This window comes from Homo sapiens, chromosome 4, assembly GCF_000001405.40.
Source record: "Homo sapiens chromosome 4, GRCh38.p14 Primary Assembly".
Classification (NCBI taxonomy): domain Eukaryota; kingdom Metazoa; phylum Chordata; class Mammalia; order Primates; family Hominidae; genus Homo; species Homo sapiens.
The window spans coordinates 153,318,160-153,342,886 of record NC_000004.12 but is presented as its reverse complement, the minus strand read 5'-3'; the positions used below and the strand labels follow the sequence as shown (position 1 = coordinate 153,342,886).

At 37.5% G+C, this 24,727-nt stretch overlaps 1 protein-coding gene across 33 annotated transcripts in view; it reads right to left on the bottom strand.

Annotated features, from left to right (window-relative positions):
- Positions 3,570–24,727, bottom strand: part of TRIM2 (tripartite motif containing 2) — a 187,155-nt gene continuing 165,997 nt past the window's right edge. For 20 of the 33 annotated variants that reach the window (NM_001375517.1, NM_001375514.1, NM_001438045.1 and 17 more), the window contains 4 exons: positions 20,071–20,239; positions 18,739–18,809; positions 14,217–14,357; positions 3,570–8,073 (listed from right to left, as the gene is read on the bottom strand). In NM_001375517.1, coding sequence (NP_001362446.1) covers positions 7,921–8,073; positions 14,217–14,357; positions 18,739–18,809; positions 20,071–20,239 — 534 coding nt within the window. In that variant the 3' untranslated portion in view covers positions 3,570–7,920. Of the gene's footprint in view, positions 8,074–14,216; positions 14,358–18,738; positions 18,810–20,058; positions 20,240–24,727 lie in introns of all 33 variants that reach the window. The other 13 variants (XM_011531796.4, NM_001351056.2, XM_047449953.1 and 10 more) reach the window with 1 other exon arrangement.

Sequence of the window (24,727 nt, the reverse complement as noted above, 5' to 3'; positions counted from 1 at the left end):
GACACATTCTACTGCCTCTGGTTCCTTTGCATTTTCAGTACAAATACCTTAAACTTCAGATAACCTTCTGATGCCCCTTCCTTGACATTCTGAAAAGCATGACCTATAGGAGCAGCTTATTTATTTATTTAGAGTTGGGGTTTCGCTCTTTTGCCCAGCCTGGAGTGAAGTGGCATGATTTTGGCTCACTGCAACCTCCAACCCCTAGGTTCAAGCGATTCTCTTGCCTCAGCCTCCTGAGTAGCTGGGATTATAGGCGCCCACCACCACCCCCGGCTAATCTTTGTATTTTTAGTAGAGATGGGGTTTTACCATGTTGGCCAGGCTGGTCTCGATCTCCCAGTCTCAGGCGACCCATCCGCCTTGGCCTCCTAAAGTGCTAGGATTACAGGCGTGAGCCACCGTGCCTGGCAGGAGGAGCTTATAAAGGAAATAGGAAAACAAAGTCAAGTCACTTGGAAGAGACTGAGGAAAAAGTCTGCAATGTAGGAAAAGAAGTAGGAGAATGCAAAACCAAGAGAGGAGAAAATTTTAAAAGAAAAACTTTAGACAAATGAGTTCCTCTCGGCAACGTGGCCAGAGAGGTTTTTTGTTGTTGTTGTTTTGTTTTTTTGAGACAGGGTTTCACTCTGTCACCCAGGCTGGAGTGCAGTGGCACAATCATGGTTCACTGCAATCTAGAACTCCAGGGCTCGAGGGATTCTCCTGCCTTGCCCTCCCAAGTAGTTGGGACTACAGATGTGCATAACTATGCCTGGCTAATTTTTTAAAAATTTTCCATAGAGATGGTGTCTCCCTATGTTGCCTAGGCTGGTCTAGAACGCCTGGATTCAAGCAATCTTCCTGCCTTAGCCTCCCAAAGTATTGGGATTACAGGTGTGAGTCATGCCTAGCCAACAGGAAGTTTTTATAGACAGAAAAGGGAAGTGAGTTACAGAAATAGCTTGACTGATTACAGCTCCTTGTTTGAATTATTTGGCCACTGTCGGCAGCCTGTGGGCTGAAGCTCAGCTACTTGTGATTGGCTGAGAATTGGGGGTTTGTTACACACCATGCTTGGTTTTCAGTTTGTGTACCACGTTAGGTTGCAGTTCCTTACAATTCCTTAGGTAGGAACTCAAAGTGTGGAGACAGCTTCAAGCCAATGGCCGCCTGCTTATTTAACAAAATTTTAAGGAAGAAATAGTAAACATTATCAACCTGTCAGTCACAACACAGCTTCTGAGTTAGAAATGACAATGCAATCATGTCATTTGGGTAGGGCGTCATTCTCAATGGGATGACATCAAAATGGGTTCCTGGGAGACAAAAAGATCTTAGATGGTTTGTGCTCCAGTGGTTTGTGGCTCTCAGTACATAAACAGATGTACAGTATATCTCTGGTATTAAAATTTCATGGGACTGGGGATGGCATTGTGAACAGGGAAAAAACATCTAAAAAGGTTCTTTATGGGAATGGTAATGAGAAAAAAGGTTGAGAAAGACTGATGTCTAGTGAATATATAATTTATCATCCGAACTGAGACACTTCTGAGAACAGAAGGGAATGCTATTCCTATTTATGCTAGGACACAGGCATAAAGAGGATTGTCCCCATCAGCTATGTGATAACATGGAACTTCCATTATACTTTATTAACCCTTCTCCATGGCTCTTTAATTTTCCCTGTTTTATAGTTATTCTTTTAATCTTTCCATCTGGAATGTAAACTCCTTAAGAACAGGCACAGTAACATACTCTTTATAACGGTGCCTCATCAGTAATTTCTTCTTGAGAAATTCTGTGGTCTTGCCATATCAGACTATTTGTTATTCCCTGAACAACTCATGTTCTGGTGCCCTCTTTTAGCACAAGCCTGGGGGGAGTCTGAGTTCCAGGGTGACTCCAGGTGCCTGTGGGTCTACACTCACCCAGCAAGTATCCCTATGGCCAAGAGAGTATAACATTAAGTAGCAAATAAAAAACACTGTGACTGGTGGAGACACCACAGAAGAAAGGAAAATGTCTTTTTCATACTTCTTGAACAAGGGGCCTTGCATTTTCATTTTGCACCAGGCTCTGTAATTATGTAGCTAGCTCTATATGTATTCAGTTATTTGTTTCATCCCAGTAAAATGAAAGTCTGTGAGAAGAGGAGCTTTTTTTGTTTACTGCTATTCCCTAGTGAGACTAGCATAGTACCTGAACATTCTACACTCAGTAAATATTTGCTAATGAATACAGCAGTTTATGGTACTGTAAGTATCTGGTCTGTTTCTCCAAGCAGGCTGTAAGCTCTGTGAGGGTACAGGCTTCAGTATTCATCCCGGTATCCCGTCCACCTAGCCAAAAGGCTGGTGGACCAAGGGTGCTTAGACGTTTGTTTGGTCAGTGACTTTAACAGTGAAAAACAGACAGAAGAGTGAGTAGAACATCAAATGTCCACTTGCCCTTCCAGTCTCCTTAGGCAAAACTGAACTCGTTCTCTCCTCTGGAAAGGGATGCATCTGGCTTCATGTGAAATGTGCTCCTGGAGGACAATCTCAGATATGCTGAACTATGCAAGTGGCTTATGGAGGGACCCACCCTCTCTCTGATTCTGAAAACCTCCAAGGAGCCCATGATGGTGGCCTGCTTGGGTAAAAGAAAAAACAAATGAAGAATGGAAGTAGAATTCAATAATATTAATATTTACAGTTCATCGTCAGCAGTGTCACATTTGGTCTTTTTTTAAAGAGACAGTCTGTTGACTATGTTGCCCAGACTGGTCTTAAACTTCTGGGCTCAAGTGATCCTCCCACCTCAGCCTCCCAAGCAGCTGTGACTCCAGGCGCTGCCGCCATGCCTAGCTCCATGTTAGGTCTTCCTAATTTCTGTTGTTTCATCTCTCCTTCCAAGACTGACTCATGTAACCTCTTCCAGAGTTTCCATCTATGCTGGATTTTTTTTAACCCTCAAGAAAACAAAACGAATTTTTATTGTGTTCCGTCATTGTTCACAATCACGCCTGTAATCCCAGCGCTTTGGAAGCCCAGGCAGGAGATTGCTTGAGCCCAGGAGTTCAGACCATCCTGGGCAAAGTAGTGACCGCATCTCTTAGAAAAAATTTAAAAAATTAGCCAGGCGTGTTGGTGAGTGACTATAGTCCCAGCTACTTGGGAGGCTGAGGTGGAAGGACTGCTTGAGCCAGGGAGGTCGAGGCTGCAGGAAGCCATGATCACACCACTGCACTCTAGCCTGGACAACAGAGCCAGAGCCAGAGCCAGACCCTGTCTCAAAAAAAAAAAAAAAAGGTTGGTAAGGTTGTTCTACTTCTATAACTTTCTAAATGTACATGTTCTACGTATGTATCAGGATTTTCCAAATTCCTACTTAAGATACATCCTAAATACTAATGGATTATTAATGTCATAGCCAACAAAAATTTTCTTGAGCTTTTCCTCACTAGTATAAATAGTCTGGTTGCAGTATTGCTATCTTCCACAGATTCCAGGATGTTCCTCAATTTCCCTTCAGGCAGAGAATATATTAAATAAATATTCACTCTGCAAATGGAGAAATATTAAATAAATAAATATTCACTCTGCAAATGGAGAAAACAAGCTTTATTATAATGATTTGAGATTTTGTGCATGGTAAAGAGATACACATGAATCCTGTTTCTCCTATGTTTCAAGACAGAATTAATTGAAAGTTTCATTGTAGACTAAAGCATCCAAAATACTGTGGTACGTATGTAGCTACGAACATACAAACACTTTGATGCACAGCGTTCATTCTTTTCTTTAAATAGGCAGTCAACATTTTGATTCATAAAAGAACAAATGACGAGAATATATCAGTATCAATGTCAGAGAGTGCAAGACTTAGTGTTCTATACATAAAACATATGAAACAGACCTATAAAGATGGAATGTACAAAATCTAAAAAGAAAACAAAGCAAAAAAAAAAAACCCCTTCATATTCATACATAGGCTTGAAAGTCTATAGAATTGAGAACGATATAAAGAATTCTATTACAAGAATACACTCCATTGATGACAGAACATTCCCATGTCATAAAGCAAAAGCATTGAGTTTAAGGCTGTGTTGCTTTCAAAAGTTAATGGAAGTGCTGTACATTCATTGGAACAACATAGCCAATTTATTAATCTATTCTAGAATATTAATAGCTTTCATACATTCTCCACAAACAGACCAATCACTGCCACACAATTCATCTTTAGAAAGTTTTTAAGCATCATGATTTGTAGCTTACTGTCATTGAAAACAAAACAAATAATTCTTTATTTATACCAAACAAATCTTTGATGGGCACTTAGTTTCCTTTATGGCAATACTAGATTTCTAGTTATCAAAAATATTAAAGTAATTATAAAGTTTAAAACCCTGCAACATTTACAGAAACCAACAGTATTACCACTTTCACTTTTAAGCTAAATTAGATAATGTTTGCATGAAATAGCTTTCATTTTTTCCTACCTGGAGATGTCTTGTTTTTAAATTATTAAATTGTCAAACTAAAAATACTCCTCCCTTTTCAGAAGCTAGTGAATAGAGAGGGTACTATAGAGTCTACAAAAAGATTTTTCCCATTTGAAGTAATCTGCAGATTACCTAATGTTTATTTACTACTTCCTCCAATTAACTAAGTAGGTATTACCAAAGCATTTCTGTTAACCCGTCAGTGCTAAGGATTCACAGATACTTGCTAGTGTACTGCTATTCCAGTTAACTCCATGTTAGGACATACCCTGTATATTTAGTAGTGGAAGCAAGTGTGTTCTAGCTGCATGGATCTGGAGTATTTATTTGCTTCAAATCTAGTCACAGTAAATTAAAATAAGGAAACTTAGGGACTTGTTTAGTTCTGGAGACTAAAGTTTGATCAAAATACTAAGTACCATTAAAAAAAATGGCAAACAGTCATAAAGGACTTGTAGTCATGTATTTCTGGATGGTCAAGTGACTCTCTGCCTCCCCATGTCCAGCAAGGGGGGCTGGGGGGTCTGTACTGGGAGGAAATGCGTCGTCACTGACCTTGAAATCCCAACCGGCAATATTTTGCCTTACGTGCCCAGGGGAAATTTGAATGAGTAATTTTTCAGTGCTACTTATCATGAATGTATGACAGGTTCTATACACTTGACAAAGAGAAATCAAACAATAATGGTAGCCCAGAAAAAAGCCACTTATTTTAATATCCTTCTCAGTTTACCAGAAACCATTTTCCATAGAATGTGACAAAATTTCATTTAAATTTTGTCTACTTGTATCATATCAGCAGCACTTTCCCCCAAAAATATGCTTACCAAGAAATACAGTAAATGCACATATGTATCCAAGTGTGAAATGTTATCTATACTTTAACATATATAATCACATATTTTTTGGAAAAAATATAGTGTTTCCTGGAGTGCTCATAGCATGTGTTTTAGCAACACATAGTGGAGCAGGTCTGAATCAAACTATTCTTTCATTCCAGTTTGTGCCAATATTGACATGTAAAAAAAATTAGCTTTGTATTCAGTCTACTATTGAGATATCTAGCCTGATAGGATATGATATGATGGCTGGTTAGATTGTAAGTTAATTTCTAAGTTCACAAATATAATTGAAATGTTGTGCAAAAAAACTCTTTAAATCAACTAGTTTTAAGATCAACAGCCTGGGACAGAAAGAATCTAAATAAAAAGCCATTTTTACTTGTGAAAATAAACTAAAATTAATGTAACCAATTTGAAAAGTTTCTTTTAAACAATCTAGACAAGAGTCTAGCCTGTCTTTTGTGCAGAACGTTAGTACGTGGCAAAATGAAATTCCCACCCCAGAATGTCAGCTCTGAGGGGGCAGCGATTTTTTACCTGTTTTGTCCATCACTGTATTTCCAGTGCCTAAAAGAGTACTTGGTACCTAGTAGGTACTCAGTAAATATGAATGTTTAAATTCAAAGATGTATCTCACTGATGTTAGGAAACAGTGTCTTCATTTAACATTCTAAAAAGTTATTGAATTTTATAGCTTTATCACGGACAGGCTCAAGTATTTTTTAAAACTCTACCTAACTAAAAAAATATTAAACCTAAATGTAAATCTTCCTGGAAAAACCTTTTTTCAGAGGTTGATTTGGGCATAATAAATTTAACAGACAATTTGAAGTAGCTAGATTTCCCTTCTAAATTTTAAGAAGTCCTATATAGAGAATGACTGAATTATAAATTAATAAGCAATAAACATCACATTCATATAATTATACATAGGGGAAATGTTTTCTTATAGTACAGTTCTAAGGTGCTTTCAGTGAAGAAGACCCCAAAGTCACTATCAAAAATGTCAAACATGACATCCTATTTGGTAGAACTGAGTAGAAAATTAAACAGTGGAAATAGACCACAGCTTATTTTACAGTACCAATGACAGATGAACGATTGACTAAATTGTTCTTAACATTTCTCAAAATGCATTTATATTTAAATTAAATGTAACTCAAGTTCAACTTTTATTTTGACCTGTTGGGTTTTTTATGTGTGTGTGTGGTTTTTTTTTTGTTTTTTTTTTTGAAAGCACAGAAGGCCATTTTCTGACTAAAAGCCACCACCGTCATTCTTGGAAAATGGCAAAAATTAAATCTGCTTTAGGGCTTGCTCCACTAGGACGGCTTTAAACTGCTTAGTAAAGGAATGTGCTGAAGAGTGGCTGGACGAAGCTTCTGTCTTTCAGAGTGCTGCCTATTTCAATACACCAAAGATTCAGCTATATATATGTGTGTGTGTATATATATATATATATAATACATTCTATCTTACCCTAATCATGTATACATAGTCCCTTGACACCTCTACTATTCATTAAACAATGATAAATAACCATAACATGCCCTTACCTGTAATGCTTTCAAGATAACACAACTTTGGTAACACTTGCTTTCTAAGGGGGAATCATTAATCAATCACATGCCTTTGGTTGACACCATCAGTCCTCCAAAGGGCTACTTATGGCTCTCTGTCCTAGGATACTGGTGTCCTACTACATGTGCTGACATTTGCAGGAGGTAAAGCTTTCGCTTTCAGGAAGTCGAAGAGAAGAGACACGTGTGAAAACATGGTACATAAAACATGACTAACTTTCTTGATTACATTCCAGTGCAATGATCTGGAGTTAACGGGGCAGTTTGTTTCCCAAAAGGTAGCATTACTTTTGTAATATGCTTTTCAAGGCATTAGAAATTTCAGGTTTCCCTGAAGAAGTACTTTGTTTGCTGATACAAGGTGAGCCAAAGGGGTGGTGAAAAGAACACACAAAAAAGGATCTTTGTCTAACCCAGAAAGGTTGAGAAATTTGCACTGATACTTAAGTTCTGAACTCCAGAGGGCTGCTAATCAGAGCTGGGATCATTTTGCAAGACAGCCTTACTTTTTCCAAAGTAATTTATATTTAGTTGTTGATAACCAAAAAAATGTCACAAGAGTAATACCTACTGTAAAAGTGAGGTTAGAAGATTCCCTGGGTCTTGTGACCTAGGTTAAATGAAGTATATAACTACAATAGATTTTGTTTTTGTTTTGCTTTTGGAAGTTCTGTGCAAAAGCTACCATTCACAGGATTAACGAATACCTTTACATATGCTAGTTTTTTAAGTGTCTGTTTGATTTGCAAAATTAGTTTAGCTACATAAATCCTGTCCCTTAAGCCATAGTTCACAGATGTAAAACTGCAGTTTTTATAGATTCAGTAGAAGAGTTTTTTTTAACCCTAAAGGTGAAATACAGAAATTGGATAAGTCATTTTTAAGGAAATTGTTACATTCAGAAATAACCTTGGAAAGTTCACCAATGATTCCTTCTGGCATAAAAACTCTAGTCATAATCTGGTCCCGCATTGAGAAATCCATTCCAGTTTATAGTGCAAGACCATGGAAGCGGGTATCCACCTGCCCACCATTACTGTAAGTATCGATAGACTTTGAAACAGTGATTTCCAGAGTCTGCAACCACAACATGACCATCTGAAGTTAGGGCCAGGCCTTGGGGGCCATAGAGTGGGTCAGCAGATGTGTTAATGTAGGACAAAAATGATCCACTCCCATCAAAAACCTGTAAACAAATAGGAAGTCAGAATGTTATAGGAGAAGTTATAGTAATATGCTGAACATGGGTTAGAAAACTCTTGATGCTAATGTTTTTCTGTTTCTTTCTTTCTTTTTGACAGGGTCTCACTCTGACACCCAGGCTGGTGTGCCGTGGTGTGAAGACAGCTTACTGTAACCTTTAATTCGTAGGCTCAAGCGATTCTCCTGATTCAGCCTCCCAAAGTGCTAAGATAATAGCCATGAGCCACCATGCCCAGTATATATGCTTTTATATTTAAAACATTAGCATAAGCCAGGTGCAGTGGTTTATATCTGTAATGCCAGTACTTTGGTAGGTGAAGGTGGGAGGATCCCTTGAGGCCAGGAGTTTAAGAACAGCCTGAGCAAAATAGCGAGACCCCGTCTCTTAAAAAAAAAAAGCAGAAAAAAAAAAAAGCAAAACAAAAAAGCACTTAAGTAATCATCTATCCATCTATGGATATGTCTTTGTTTATGTCACTATCATATCTATAATCCTACTCTCCACTTACCTTGCTTTCTCTCCTCTCCCCATCTATTTCCAGGTGGTGGAGAAGAATATGCCATTGGCTGCTAGCTTTCACTTGTATTCCTATAGTGGTCACAACAAATATTGGGTGGGAAGGGCCCTAGATGGTGCTTAAAAATGAATGAAGCTTATTGTTCATGTTAAATCTTCACTTATTCCACTTCCAGCCTCACATCCTTTTCCTCCCCCACACTTATAAGGGGAAAAATCAGCAACTAGATGATGGAAGAATGTTCCTGAGTCATAATAGCAATGAGACAGTAGAAATTATTTTTTCCTTTTTAGAAAAGAGTGGGTTGTAAGAAGTCAATGGTTCAACAGGTAAAGCCATCCCCTGGTATCCCAGGAGACTGATACCAAAATCTTCAGATTCTCAAGTCCTTTATATAAAATAGCCTAGTATTTGCACCTAACCTGTGCACATCCCCCCATATATTTTAAATCATCTCTAGATTACTTCTAATACCTAGAGCATGCTATATAATGTAAATAATATTATGTATTTTTACAATTCGTATTATTTTTAATCATTGTATTTAACAAATTATTTTTCCTGAAATTTTTGATCTGTATTTGGTTGAATTCACAAATGTGAGATTTGGGGGTACGGGGGGCTGATTATATGTTTGGATGTGAAATCACTTTCTTTTGGTCTATCGGTTTCTGCTTTGTTACTTCTGTTAAATTTTTATTTTGAAATAATTATAGATTCATAGGAAGTGGCAAAGATAGTAGAGAAAGGTCCTGTGTACTCTTCACTCAGTTTCCTCCAATGGTCACATCTTCTATAATTATGGTACCACACAAAACCCAATACATTGACTTTGGGTTGTGTGTGTACAGTTTTATGTCATTTTATCATGTGTGTAGATTTACCACTGCAACCAACGTACAGAATTATCCCATCAACATAAAGATCTCCCTCTTGCTACTTACTCCCCTTTCCTCACATCTCTAATCCTTGCCAACCACTAATCTGTTTTCCTTCTCTATAATTTTGTTATTTTTTTGAGAATGGTACACAAATAGAATCATATAGTATGTAACCTTCTGAAAATGGCTTTTTTTCACTCAGCATCATGCCCTTGAGATGCATCAGAGTTGTTGAGTGTATCATTAGTCTGTTCCGTTTTAATGCCAAGTCATATTCCATAGTATAGACATACCAGTTTGTTTAATCATGAACCTATTGAAAGACATCTGGGTTATTTTCAGTTTTGGGCTATTACAAATAAATCTTCTATGAACAACAATGTACAGGTTTTTGTGTGGACGTAAGTTTTCACTTCTCTGGGACAGACAGCCAGGAGTATAATTTATGGGTTGTATGGTAAGTATATGTTTAGTTTTTAAAGAAATACCAAACTATTTTCAAGGCTGACTGTGTAGTTTTGCATTTTTACCAGCAATGCATGAGAGATCTGGTTTCTCTACATGCTCTCCAGCATTTGGCATTATTAATATTTTTAATTTTAGCTATCCTTATAAGTGTGCAGTAATATCTCACCATGGTCTTAATTTGTACTTCCTTAATGTCTAGTGATATTGCACATCTTTTTATGTATACATCCTCTTCAGTAAAATTTCTCTTTATGCCTTTTGCTCGTTTTTCTTTTTTTTTTTTTGAGACGAAATTTCACTCTTGTCACCCAGGCTGGAGTGCAATGGTGTGATCATGGCTCACTGCAACCTCCGCTTTCTGGGTTCAAGTGATTCTCCTGCCTCAGCCTCCCAAGTAGCTGGGATTACAGGCACACACCACCACACCCAGCTAATTTTTGTATTTTTAGTAGAGACGCAGTTTTGCCATGTTGGCCAGGCTGGTCTCAAACTCCTGACCTCAGGTCATCCACCCGCCTTGGCCTCCCAAAGTGCTGGGATTACAGATGTGAGCCACAGCACCCAGCCGCCTTTTGTTCATTATTCTAATTGGATTGTTAAATTATTTTACTGCTGAGTCTTGAGAATCTTTACATATTCTAGGTATAATTCCTTTGTCAGAAATTCAGTTGGTAAATATTTTCTCTCAGTCTGTTGCCTATCTTTTTATCCTCTTAAAGAGATCTTTCACAGAGCAAAACCTTTTATTTTTTATGAAACCCAATTTGTTAATTGTTTTTCTTTTATGGATTATAGTTTGGGTATTATGTCTAAAAACTCTTCATGGAGCCCTAGGTCCCAAAGATTTTCTCTTAAATTATTCTAAAAGTTTATCTCCTCAAACATTATCTTCTAAAAATGTTATAGTTTTACATTTTACAGTTAAATCTACAGTCCATTTTGAGTCAACTTTTTGTACAAATTAATGTTCATTCTTTTTTTCCTCTGTGGTGGTCTTAGTTGTTCCAGTCCCATTTGTTGAAAAGGCCATCATTCCTCCATTGAATTGCTTTTGTACCTTTGTCAAAATGCAATAGGCTGTACAACTGTGGGAGCAATTTCTAGATTCTCTATTCTGTCCCACTGATGTATGTGTTTATTCCTCCACCATATTACATAGCCTTGATTATGGTAACTATATAGTAAGTCATATAGCTTACTCTATGGGTTTGTAAGGGTAGAGTGATTCCTCTCAATTTATTCTTCTTTTTCAAAATTGTTTTAGCTATTTCCTTTGCCTTGCCATATAAATTTTAAAATAAGATTTATATCTGCAAAAAATCCTGCTGAGATTTTGTGTTAAACCTGTATATTAATTTGAAGACAACTGACATCATTGTTGAGTCTTGCAATCCATGAACACAGTTGTTTCTCCATTTACTTAGAACTTCTTTGATTTCTTTTGCCAGCATTTTATAGTTTTCAGCATACAAATATTGAATATGTTTTGTTATAATATCTAAGTATATATTTTTTCAGTGATTCTAAATGGTATTGTGTTTTTAATTTTGGTTTTCACTGTTAGTTGCTAGTTTATAAAAATATAATTTTTTTTTGTTTTTTCTTAAGAGACAGGGTCTTGCTCTGTCACCCAGGCTGGAGTGCAGTAGCACAATCATAGCTCACTGCAATCTCCAACTCCCAGACTTAAGGAATCCTCATGCCTCAGCCTCCTGAGTGGCTGAGCCTATAGACATGTGCCACCATGTCTGGCTAATCTTTGTATTCTTTTGTAGAGATAGTGTCGTCCTGTGTTGCCCAGGCTAGTCTCAAACTCCTGGCCTCAAGCAATCTTCCCACCTTGGCCTCCTAAAGTGCTGGCGTTACATGCATGAGCCACCGTGCCTGACCATAATTGATTTTTGTATGTTGATCTTATATTCTGCAATCTTGCTGAACTCACCTATTCTAGGAACTGTTTTTATAGATTCTTTGGGATTTTCTATGTAAACATCATGTTATCTGCAAACAGGGAGAGTGGTTAATTTCTTCCACTCTAATTTGTAAGCTTTTTATTTCCTTTCTACCTTTTGTGCTGGCTAGAACTTCTAGTATTATATTGAACAAGAATGGTGAGACATCCTTGCAGACATCCTTGCTCTATAGGGAATGCATTCAGTCTTTTACTATGAAGTATGGTGTTAGCTATGGTTTTCATAGATGTTGTTTATCAAGTTGAGAGAGTCTTAGTTTTCTGAGAGTTTTGTCATGAATGGGTATTAAATTTTGTCAAATGATTTTTCAGTGTCAATTGATATGATCATATAGTTTTTCTTCTTTAGAATTTTACTATGGTGGATTATTACATTGACTGATTTTCTTTATTTTTATTTTTATTTTTTAAAGGGCAGCCTCCCAAGCCAGAGTAGCTCAGAGACTCCCTGATTTTCTAATACTAAACCAGTCTTGCATTCCTGGAATAAACTCCACTTGGTCATGGAGCAATTTTTACATATTGCTGAATTATATTTGTTAATATATCTTTAAGAATTTTTACACACAGGAGGAATATGGTCTGTAGCTTTCTTTTTTGTACTGTCTTAGCCTGGTTTTGGTATCAGGGCTTCAAAAGCTGATTGGAAAATGAGTTGGGAAGTATTCTCTTATCTTCTATTTTCTGGAAGAAATTGTATACAATTGTTACTAAATTCTTTAAACATTTGGAAGAATTCCATGGTGAAATCATCTCCATCTAGACATTTCTTTTTGGTGTTTTAAAATTATGAATTAAATTTTCTTAATAGTTATAGGGCTATTCAAATTATTTCATACGGGAGTTGTGGAGTTGGTATTTTTTGAGGAGTTGTCTATTTCATCTAAGTTGTCAAACTTGTGTATGTAGAGTTGTTCACAGAATTCCCTTATTATCCTTTTGATGTCTACAGAACATGTATTAATATTAGTATTTTGTGTCTTTTCTCTTATTTCCTTTGTCAGTCTTGCTAGGGTTTTGTTGGTTTTACTATCTTTTCAAAGAGCCAGTTTGCTATTTCATGGATTTTCCCTATTGCTTTTCTGTTTTGAATTTCATTTCTTTTTTTTTTTTAATTTTTTGAGACAGAGTCTCCTTCTGTTGCCCAGGCTGGAGTGCAATGATGTGATCTTGGCTCACTGAAGCCTCTTCCTCCTGGGTTCAAGCGATTCTCCTGCTTCAGCCTCCTGAGTAGCTGGGCTTGCAGGCGCCTGCCACCACACCTGGCAAATTTTTTGTATTTTTAGTAGAGATGGGGTTACACCGTGTTGGCCGAGCTTGTCTCGAACTCCTGACCTCAAGTGATCTGCCTGCCTTGGCCTCCCAAAGTGCTGGGATTAAAGGCATGAGCCACAGCGCCCAGCCTTTAATTTCGGCCTTGCTTCCTTCTGCTTGTTTGGGGTTTGCTCTTTTCTTTCTAGCTTCTTGAGATGGCAGCTTAGACCATTGATTTAAAATGTTTCCTCTTTTCTAATAGAAGCATTTAGCGTATTAATTTCCCTCTCAGCATTGTTTTTGCTAAATTCCACAAATTTTGATACGTTCTATTTGCATTTTCATTCAGTCCAATATATTTTACAATTTTCCTTGAGACTCCCTCTTTGACTCAAGGGTCATTTAGCACAATAGTGTTTTAAAATTCATAAAACAAAACACATGGGATTGTAAAAAACCATATTAAAATATAGCTATTGAAATATTACTAAATTATGATAGAGCAATATGTGTGTGCTTCTAAAAATTAGCACATTAAATAATAAGAAATAGTAATGGGTCTAATAATTACTGTAATTTTGAAGTAGTGATGAGAATAAGTGACAATTCAAGATTTTTGCAACAATATGATATGAAAATTTCTGTGATTTTTCTTGGTGACAAAGTCATAGGCATTACTAAAATTACTATGATTGTTGCTTATATTCATGATTAAGGGAAATGATAATTTTCAGCCAGAGGTTCATAAATATAATAATGTAGTATTTTTATTCAATGGCCCCCTTGAATTCTATCTTCAGACCCTTTGTGGGGGTCTGTGGGGTCCATATTAAAACCCCAATTTAGAGGGTTTCAGTCTGGTAACATTTTTTCTACTCCATCTTGCTGAGTTTGGTCCTTCTGGTGAGAGTATCTATGGTTCTATGTCCTAACCAATGGAAAAGAGAAAACATTCCAGTTTGGGGGACAGCAAATTCTTCACTTTTAACAAATACCAAACACTCTAACCATATACATTAGCACATTGATCTACCTGGATCCTGCTGTTTCCCCAGTCGGCCACAATGATGTTTCCATTTGAATCCACTGCTACACCTGTTGGAGCATTAAACTGCCCATTTCCTTCTCCATTTGAGCCAAACTTCAACATGAATTCTCCTTCCTGATTAAACACCTGTATGAAATATTTTTAAATTATTTTGTTTTACATCAAAATACTTGAACCAACATGATGGATTAAAAAAATATCTATTTGAGCAGGTTATTTATAACAAGACTTATCATTTAAGACATTCTAAAAAAAGAAAATGAAATCTACAAGACAGACTGCATATCATTGTGGTTCCCCAAATTACTGTATAAATCTGATTTATCATTTGTTAAATCATCACTTTTTTTGGCTTATATCTGGTTATTAAATCCTTATGTGAATGATACCTTTGTTATAAAATACTGTACAAGTAAGTATGAGTAAGAAGTGCTATAATTTTCAATAATATTATTCTTCCCACCTTTAAAGAAATTGCTAATTTCAAGAATGGGCATTATATTTATATTTCTAACAGGATGGATGACCATTAAAAGTTGGATCAGAGAGTAGGAGTTTTTTGTTATGCCAGATGCTCAGAATTTATTATCATTTTACTACATCAACATAACTAGAAAGAGTAGGCTGGACTCCATACTTAGAATGGGAGAAATTCATTGCATGTGTGTGTGCACATGTGTGGTAGCAGCAGGTGAGAAATAAGAGAAGGGCTTTTTTATTTACCCTCAGAAGATATTTTAGTTCGAGAGTTTATATGATCCTAAGGCTTTGATGAATATAAAAGTAGTTTCTATTACTCTATTTTCTATTACTCTTTTATCTCTCAGTAGAGAGACGGGAAGCTGTTAGAAGTAGGGGGCTAAACAGAACTCTTAAGCAAATTCTCTAACATCTGATATGGTCAAGCAGTGGAGTGCTGTGGTTAATTACATATTCTTATTAATAGAGTGCTACTAAATATGTATCAATACAGATCACTGATTTTGAAAAAAGTAAATGTTAATGTTTAATGATAACACTATAGTAAGCATAATTGTATCTTGATGATTCAGATGATACCTAATGGTTTTGAAATGTCTCCAGGACATTATTTTTAACTTCCATTGTCATGATGCCTAGATGCATAGAAATATTCATTGACAAATCTGAAAGTATTATGTAAAAGGCACTTTGAGAGTAAGGTTTCCTCAAATGTAGAACTGAAAGAGCTCACTATATTTGAGTACAGATCTTCATTTGGGGATGATCTCAAGACCTTTTAGAGAGCCACCTGTTGTCATCTCTGATTACAGAAGATCAAAATGACCATTACTTTTAGGTAAGTACCTTGGGAAAGTAGGACACTTCCATCTCTACAGGCTAAACTCACATTACGATAAAAAAGAAAGAGTCATGGCTACTTCCTGAATTCATTACGTACTTGCCAAGAAAGCAAGCCACCTTTGTGGTTCTTTAGAAAGGACCAGGGCAAGAACAACCAGCTTTTACTAAGATGCCATATTTAAATTTTTTTTCTGACTCTTTTTGTCTCCTTTTACATAACACATTGTAGTTTTAAAGACCAGTGGGAACATGTTTATGCTGGACACAATTTATTATTCTCTATTTTTTTCCCTTACTAAGCCCTACAAATAGTCATTTTGTTTATCTTTCTTTCTTTTTTTTTTTTTTTTTTTGAGATGGAGTCTTATTCTGTCACCCAGGCTGGAATGCAGTGGCACAATCTTGGCTCACCGCAACCTCCACTTCCTGGTTCAAGCAATTCTCCTGCCTCAACCTCCTGAGGGCCTGGGGTTACAGGCGCCCACCACCACGCCCGGCTAATTTTTGTATTTTTACTGGAGACGAGGTTTCGCCCTGTTGGCTAGGCGGGTCTCGAACTCCTGACCTCAGGTGAGCTGTCCGCCTTGGCGTCCCAGAGTGCTGGGATTACAGGCGTGAGCCACTGCGCCCAGCCTTGTTTATCTTTCTGAGTCAATATGTTTTCCTGGGCATAATCCAAATGACTCAAGTAGTTTTGCTTCATTTTGGGATAATGAAGGATGCCAAATCTAGTCTTACTTGTTTTGTGATGAAAAGAAAATATATTCTGCAGATAGCTAAGAAGCTAACTAGACCCCTTGTTAGCACTGACCTATAGATATGCATTTTACACTTATCAACAGAGAAGTGACCTGAATTCAGAACTATTGCTAACTGCCCAGCATTACATGGGGAAGAAAAACCCAAGTATTCCATAAAACTTATTTGGCAATAGTTGTCAAAAAGAAGAGAAACAACAACGAAAGGCTATGGTTTTTTAAAACAAGAAGAAAATTGAGTTTAAATAAATAGCTAAAATAATCTACTTCTACCATGCTGAAAACTTGAAGAGTTTTCAGAATATTAAGAATTATAAATGTTTCATATTTTCTATTTTTCCCGACTAAAATGCCATTTAATTACTTAAAAATTATTCACATGAAAACAAATTAAGAGGCAGAAGTATCAGCTTAAATAGTTTTTACAGCTTTGCTTTTTACAATAAATATTTAAAGCAAGTTTTTTAAAAAAATCACCTTGATGATAGCCCTTTCCTGATTTCAAAATTCTGCTCATGTCAAATACCATCTCCACTTGGAAGTCTCCTCTGATCATCTTAATTAAGGAAATCTTCTCTTTTCTTTTGGAAAGTTAGGAAACTTTATATGTACCTATTTTATGAAACTATTTAGTGCTACCTGCCTTGCATTTTGGCTACTTACATATGTTTTAATTCTTTCTACAGTGTCAGCCAGGACTGGTAAATAGGAGCCGTCCCACATACCAATGCCAGTTGATTCTTAGAGGTTGCCTGGAGCACTGGACAGGAAAGGCTCTGAGATCACAGTTGCGCTTAGTAGAAAAGAGCCACTTGATTAATTATGACTGTCTTTCAGCTGGGAGTGGGCAGAACCTATGCAAGCATTTGCTGGCCTTTGTACTATTAGGATCTCATATGGGTTTCCTTCTTGCTGAATGCCCTGTAGTTATATGAATGATTCCTCTACAAAGTGAGTGAGAGTAGGAAGTATGAGAACAACCTGTGTTATCCTTTGACAGTTGTGCTCATTCTCCAGCACTGTTATAACTCTTGGGGAGGCAGTCCCCAGCCCGGTTACTGCTGCCTCTTTGCTCTCTACTTCCGTCCTTCTTTGGCTACCAACTTTTTCCACTATCCTATTCCTTTTACCAAGACACTTCCCATGGACAGTAGTTTCAGCAGAGAATGCAGATTATCTGCATTTGAGTGTAGGGGGGACCTATGCCACCATGTGAGCATCTCTGGAGAGACAATATGGCAGGGAGCAGTTTCAGAAAAAAGCAACGGTGGGCACCCTGTTCCCTTATCCTGACCCCATTTCCGCAGCCCACTGTGCGCTACTGTCTGCACAGGGACTTGGCACCCATCAAAAAGATCCAAGCCCTCTCCATTTACTCAGGTTAGAGGCTCTCCAGGATGCAGAAAGGACATCACAGAGAGTACCTTTGGGTGTTAAAAAACCTACCCCTTATCTAGCTATCGCAGTCATTAGCACTGATAAGTCATTATTAATTTTGGTTGCTCAGTCATTGTTTCTAAGTGCAAACTTTACTCACTGGCATACCATCCTCTGCTGTTTCCTTATCATTTTTCCTTTAAAATGACTCACCTTTTAAAATTTAGATTAATGTATTTAAAAGAAAAACTTTATTATGTCTGTAAGTGCAAAACAGCATCACTTGATGTAAACAAAAGGTAGCCCTAAAATAAATGCATAACTTAAAATAAAAATATCCACCAGTGTACTGCCTATGGCCACGGATCATACCTTCAGTGGAACATGCATCACACCTTGAGAAGCCTGATCTAGGATATTACTAAATATTTCCTCATCATTTCAGTAAGTGAGTAATGTGTTTTGAACCATTTTATTATTTCCTGATTTTCTCATAATAAAGTTCAATTCTCTCTCCCCTGGTACCTAGTAAGAAAGATATACTATAGGTCACTGTTTTCTAAAGAACACCAAATGTGTGAAAGCATTCTAAGAAGTATAAAATATACTGTATGAATGTATGCTAGGATTATCCCCCTCCCCATGCTGTCTGTTGTTGTAACAGAGTCGAACATCTAATTTTTTTTTTAACAAAAAGATGCGGAAAATTGAAAAAGTGATTTTAATTTATTGACTAGCCACAAAACATTAAGCTTCAGAAAGTTCTGCCTCTAAGTTCAACGAATTGCTTTTTAAAATTTAATTTTCAAGTCCTCTTCATTTGCACCAGTTTCAAATTAAGCAACTTATTGCCACCACATTTTATTCAATTTCCTGACTTTCCAAGGTCTGTAAGTCCAAGTTAAAACCGGCATCTTTGAGCAGAACAAAGTCTACTCTGCTGGTTAACTCCCTTTGGTGCCATATGTAAGTATTGCATTATTTTCTCGCAGACCAATTTCTCCATAAAAGCAGTTAAAAGTTAACAACAACTCATGTGCTTGTAGTACCTTGACAGAATGATTATGGAAATCTGTAATAATAATCTCATTATTGCTATTTACAGCTGCAAAATGGGGACCTGCAATAAAGATGGAAAAAAATATGTGATGACTACAACAAAAGTGATTACATATAGCAGTTACTGTAACAAACAAACTTAATATATTAACTTAGTTATTTAAGAAAGTACAAAGAATCATAGACTCAGTCTTTGAAAGATCATTCAGCCAGACCTCCAGTTGCAGATAACATGGATCCTATATTATTCTCTACTTGCGCCAGTCTATTCTGACTCTTTCTCAAGCAGGCTGGGAGTTCTAGCAGCCCTAATGAAGTGGGAGGAGCAGTAAGCATCAGAATTCATTCTCCGTGCCACCATCTAAAAGTCACATCTGCCAGCTTCCCTGAGTATCTGTTAGTCATTTTAGAGCCCTCAGCTCCCACCAAGGAAAGACGTGGCAACTCAGCATTGGAAAAGAGACTCCAATATGTAATTTTTAAAAATTGATTAGCTGGACATGGTGGCACATGCCTGTAGTCCCAGCTACTTGGAGGGCTGAGGCAGGAGGATCACTTGAACCCAGGAGGTCGAGGCTGCAGTGAGCTGAGATCACGCCACTGCACTCCAGCCTGGGTGACAGAGCGAGACCCTGTCTCAAAAACAAAACAAAACAAAACAAAACAACAGAAAACCCACACTATAATTCTGGGTGACATTCAGAAACTTGGCAGAACTGGAGACAAAGCATAAACAAATATTATGCAAATTAATACTAAGTGCCAAAAGCATCCTTTCAAAAAGAAAATTAATAAGCTATTTTCAGCCTCTTCTTGCAAATGCAAAAACCTAAATAAGCTTGTGATTGCAAAGTGCTACACCAAAGAGACGTAAAACAGACTGCCCTCCTTAAACCTAGCAAATATTCTAGACTCCTGTTCTCTTACAATAACCTAGAAAGGTGAAAAAAAATTCTCATTCAGTGGCTTTTTAAGCAAAGTTACAGCTAGGCTGAAACAGTAGTTATTCCTTGTTTTTCAAATATTTTTATTTTAAAATTTATACCTTATTTAATATGAATATTTCAAAGCTAGACTTCTGAGTTGTGAACTGCCACCGATAAAAACCACACAAGGACTGCAGCTCAACTTACTGCCGGGTGGGTGGCGGTGACTAAGGCTCAAGCAACGAAACATGCTTTTGCTTAGATTTTATCCCCAGCATCTTTCCCAAAGCCAGCAAACACACTAGGGATGCGGTGTCTTCAACATGCTCCAACATCATGCAAATGTGAGCAGAAGAAGCATAAAAAAGGGGGTTTACATATTACCATCGAGTGTACCTGCAAACTGCCTGTCCCCATTTCCTCGGCTACCAAACCTGGTGACTATTTTCCCGTTTGGCTGGAAGATAAACACGCAGCACGCCTTGTTGTCCACAACAATAATGTGCCCATTGCGGTCCACAGAAACTCCTTTGGGTCCCATCAGCTTTCCTGATCCAATTTTTGTCTGTTTGAAACAAGTACAGAAATAGAAGTACAGTATAGAGTCAAAGTTTAAACCACTACAGAACATGAAGATAAACACTGTTTTGGTCAACATTTACCTGAAGGTTCAAACGGGTACACAGCTACTCATATATCACAATGAACTTCTGTCTTGGAAAACTGGCTTTGTCACATCCATTATCTGCTGCTGATATCTATATAAATCCTTATTCTTTTATTTATTTATTTATTTATTTTTGAGACGAAGTCTCATTCTGTTGTCCCAGCTGGAGTGCAGTGGTGCAATCTCGGCTCACTGCAACCTCCACCTCCTGGGTTCATGCAATTCTCCTGCCTCAGCCTCCTGAATAGCTGGGACTACAGGCGTGCACCACCATGCCTGGCTAATTTTTTTTGTATTTTTAGTAGAGACAGGGTTTCACTTTGTTGGCCAGGCTCGTCTTGAACTCCTGACCTTGTGATCCACCCACCTCGACCTCCCAAAGTGCTGGGATTACAGGCATGAGCCCTCGTGCCCAGCCCTTAAAATCCTTATTCTTAAAAGAGATCACCACCAAAAATAGTCTAGGATCCCCTAAACTGGGGTCACAGTTCCCTGCTGAAGAGGCGGTGTGATCTGGTGAAAGATCACTGGATTATGACTCAGAAGAATGACCTACTTCCATTGCTTGCTTTAAACACACCTGGAATAGCACAGATGGATTTCATTTCCTTAAACTTCAGATTCCTTATACATTAAAAAATGTCCAAAAAATGACAACTCGACAACTCCTAATGGCATTTTTGGAAGATGTATTAAGTAAAATAAGGTAGGTAAAGGGTTTACTGTAGAGTGTAGCACACAGCAAGCAGTCACTGTAGGGAAGCCATCACTGTCATTGTTATAGATCATAATATCAAAATTGCCTGGCATCTAGCATTAAACTTTACGAGAATTAAGTTCTCCTTGGGCGGGAGTCACATCTGTTTTATTCACCATTGTGTACTCAGGGGCAACACACTTCTTGGTGCATAATAAATATTCAATGAATATCTATTGGATACATTAATTTTAAAAGTCTAGCATTATTATAGGGCAATCATAATGATTAAATGGCTCCACTTTTTATCATATTTTAAAATAGGGGAAAAGCATTTGATTTCTATCAATCATATACCGTATTTTAAATTTTATTCCTGTTCTTGAGTAGACTGTGGTGTGTATTTAAATGTCTATTTGCCATGAGATACAGGTCTTGTACCTTTACTTTTCTTTCTATAGCTTAATTTTCTAGACTACGTATAAAGAAGTGCTTCACTCATTCACTTATTTATTTCCTAATTCTACAAACACTGCCCAAGCACCCACTATGTGCCTGACGGTATTCTAGGCACATGGCAAACAAACACAAATAAGACGTAGCTCTTGCCCTCAAGTATGTCTCAGTCACATTGCAGGGACAAACATGTCTACTGTATCTCTTTAAAGAGTGTGGTATTGAGTCTTCATTTTAATATACTTGGGAGAATTCAATTAGGCCATCTCAGAATGCATGTGAAGTGAAAACTTGATGACGCCACAGCAGACAAGGAAGGCGAAGGACCACCCCAGGTGAGGAAACAGCAGGAAGGAATGTATGTTAAGTCAGGGAAACTATAAGAACCACAGTTCTCCCTGGCACCCAGGCTTGACGTGTTGGAGGGAAGCAGATCTATGTGTTTTTATGAAAGAACTCTTCGCCGGGCGCGGTGGCTCACACCTGTAATCCCAGCACTTTGGGAGGCCGAGGTGGGTGGATAACTTGAGGTCAGGAGTTCGAGACCAGTTGGCCAAGGTGGTGAAACCCCATCTCTACTAAAAATACAAAAATTAGCTGGGTGTGGTGGTGGGTGCCTATAATTCCAGCTACTCAGGAGGCTGAGGCAGGAGAATCACTTGAACCTGGGAGATGAAGGTTGCAGTTAGCCAAGGTCGCGCCACCTCACTCCAGCCTGGGTGACAGAGCGAGACTCTGTCTCGAAAACAACAACAACAACAAAAACTCTCAGACATGCTATTAAACAAATTAAGGTAAGGAACAATGAGTGTAGTCTGAGTCCACATGTGTTATATGTGTGCATGTATGTACATAGACTTCTGGAAGGAAAAGTGAGAAATCAGCGTCTATATCTTAGAAAACCCAAAAAGTTATATTCTCATAGGTTATGCTTTAGCCTTCTTATTTTATCTCTCTATATTAGTGCTGTCTGATAGAAATATAATGTGAACCACATATGTATTTTTAAATTTTCTAGTAGCAGGATGGGACTTTGCATGATGGGGACTTTAGACTTTATATGCTCCTTTTATTCTTCTAAGTTTATAAATGATGAAGATTCAGATTTCATCTCTTTAGAGCAAAGGAACACAATTACTTAGGAAAGAAACAGTGGTTTTCTTGGCAAGAGGAACTGCTGTGTAAATTTGATTCTGATTCTCCAATCTAGCCCAAAGATCAAAGAGGCTATAACACAATGGTGGGTAAAGAAATGGCATTTGTTGTTTCATGTCTAAATGGAGGGTAAGTCAGCAGAGATCAAAAGGGAGAGAAGGCACTTCGATGATTAAAACAAGAATGTCATTACTACCTAACATTATGAACACTTGTAGTTGCTTAGATGACTCAACCAAATAATATCAAATGGATAATTATCTAGAATAAAAAGAGAAAATAAAGGGTTACTTCCATTCTATCATGTAGTGACAACTAGGGCAGATCTGAAAGAATAACTTAAACATTGAACCAAAATTTCTTTACACTTCCCTTCATCACTCCTAGTTTAGCTGCACTGGATTCAACCAAGTGAAAGGTAAGAATCCCTGCATTTCCCTGATTGTGTCAACCCCATCTTAAACAGAATAGTAAACAACAAAAAATATATATATATATTTTTTTTTTGAGACAGAGTTTTGCTCTTGTTGCCCAGGCTGGAGTGCAATGGCGCAATCTCAGCTCATTGCAACCTCTGCCTCCCGGGTTCAAGTGATCCTCCTGCCTCAGCCTCCCGAGTAGCTGGGATTACAGGCGCCCATCACCATGCCCAGATAATTTTTTGTGTTTTTAGTAGAGATGGGATTTCACCATGTTGGCCAGGCTGGTCTTGAACTCCTGACCTCAGGTGATTTGCCCGCTGCGGCCTCCCAAGGTGCTGGGATTACAGATGTGAGCCACTGTGCCCGGCCCAGCAAAAATATTTTAACCCTGCCTTTGGAATGGTTTAATCAGGGTATTTAACTCAACAAATAGTTCCTTAAATTGAACAGGAAAGAGATGAGATATTTTAGAGTAAGGTGGCCAGAGGTGTTTCCATTTGTTTGGATAGAAAAGGTTTCTAGATGGGCTGGAAGATAGGAGGCAGTGGGGAAGATAGAATAAATTCAGAGGAGGCAGAGAGAAATAAAAATTAGGGCTAATAAATTGGTGAATAAAAGAAAAGGAGATAAGATGTTACATCTCTGGAACTACTAGGAATAAATACAAAGAGTCTACACTGGTGTTAAACGTGTGTCTTTCTCAGCACTTGTTTAATTTTACTGAGTCCCACCAAAGAAGAAAAAGAAGAAAATAAGTATCTCTGTCTATACCTGTGGATATTCCACTTGGATGAACTCCTGTGAGGGTCCTAAAGTGTTTTTACATGCTATCCTTTTACCCTTTGGGTTTTGATCAACACCTATCATAGAAGAGGGTATTGCTGAAACTACACCACCTCCACTCCCCCAATCCTCTAGGGGGCATGAGTGTTCTTTAGAGTTTATTCTCATTATTACCTTTAATATTCCAACTCTAAGAACCCAGTTCTTCTAAGAGTGTCTATTACAGATAGACTATTGAACCACTGAACAAAAAATGCTTAGAGAGCCCTTCTTCCTTAGACATAAAACTCCTGTCTCCGTAAGTGAACCTATTTTAGTATTAGCTTCTGAATTTACAAAGACAGATCACGGTTTTGCTAGAGTATAAAACATAAACAAATGGGTTGCCTCCAAACTATATAAACATTTTCAAGATATTCAAGATATAAATATTCACATTAAACTTGTCATATTTGGGTATGTCTTACCACATATACAATTATTAAAATGCAAAAAAGGGGGAAGAAGTTAGAGCTACAGAAAGGCAGGAGATTTTTATATATATGTGGTCATCATACAGAGCCATTAAATTTCTAGTGAAACCAAAAATTCAAGGGTGATTGAAGAATTGCATGCAATATTATGGAATAAAAAATGACAGTTTTTCAGTCTCCAAAATTGACAAGATGCTGCCTCACACAAAACAGAGGCTCAAATCTGAGAGTTTCACAATTACGTAACTCATTTCATTAAAACAATGAGGGGACTACAGCAGTCTGAAGACTTTAAAAAGGAAAACAGAAATTCTTCCAGAAAGAAACCAATAAGTACACTTTGAGTAATCTTTAGAATTCCAGATTGGATTATGAAAAGCAGCATCTCCAAACTCCTAGA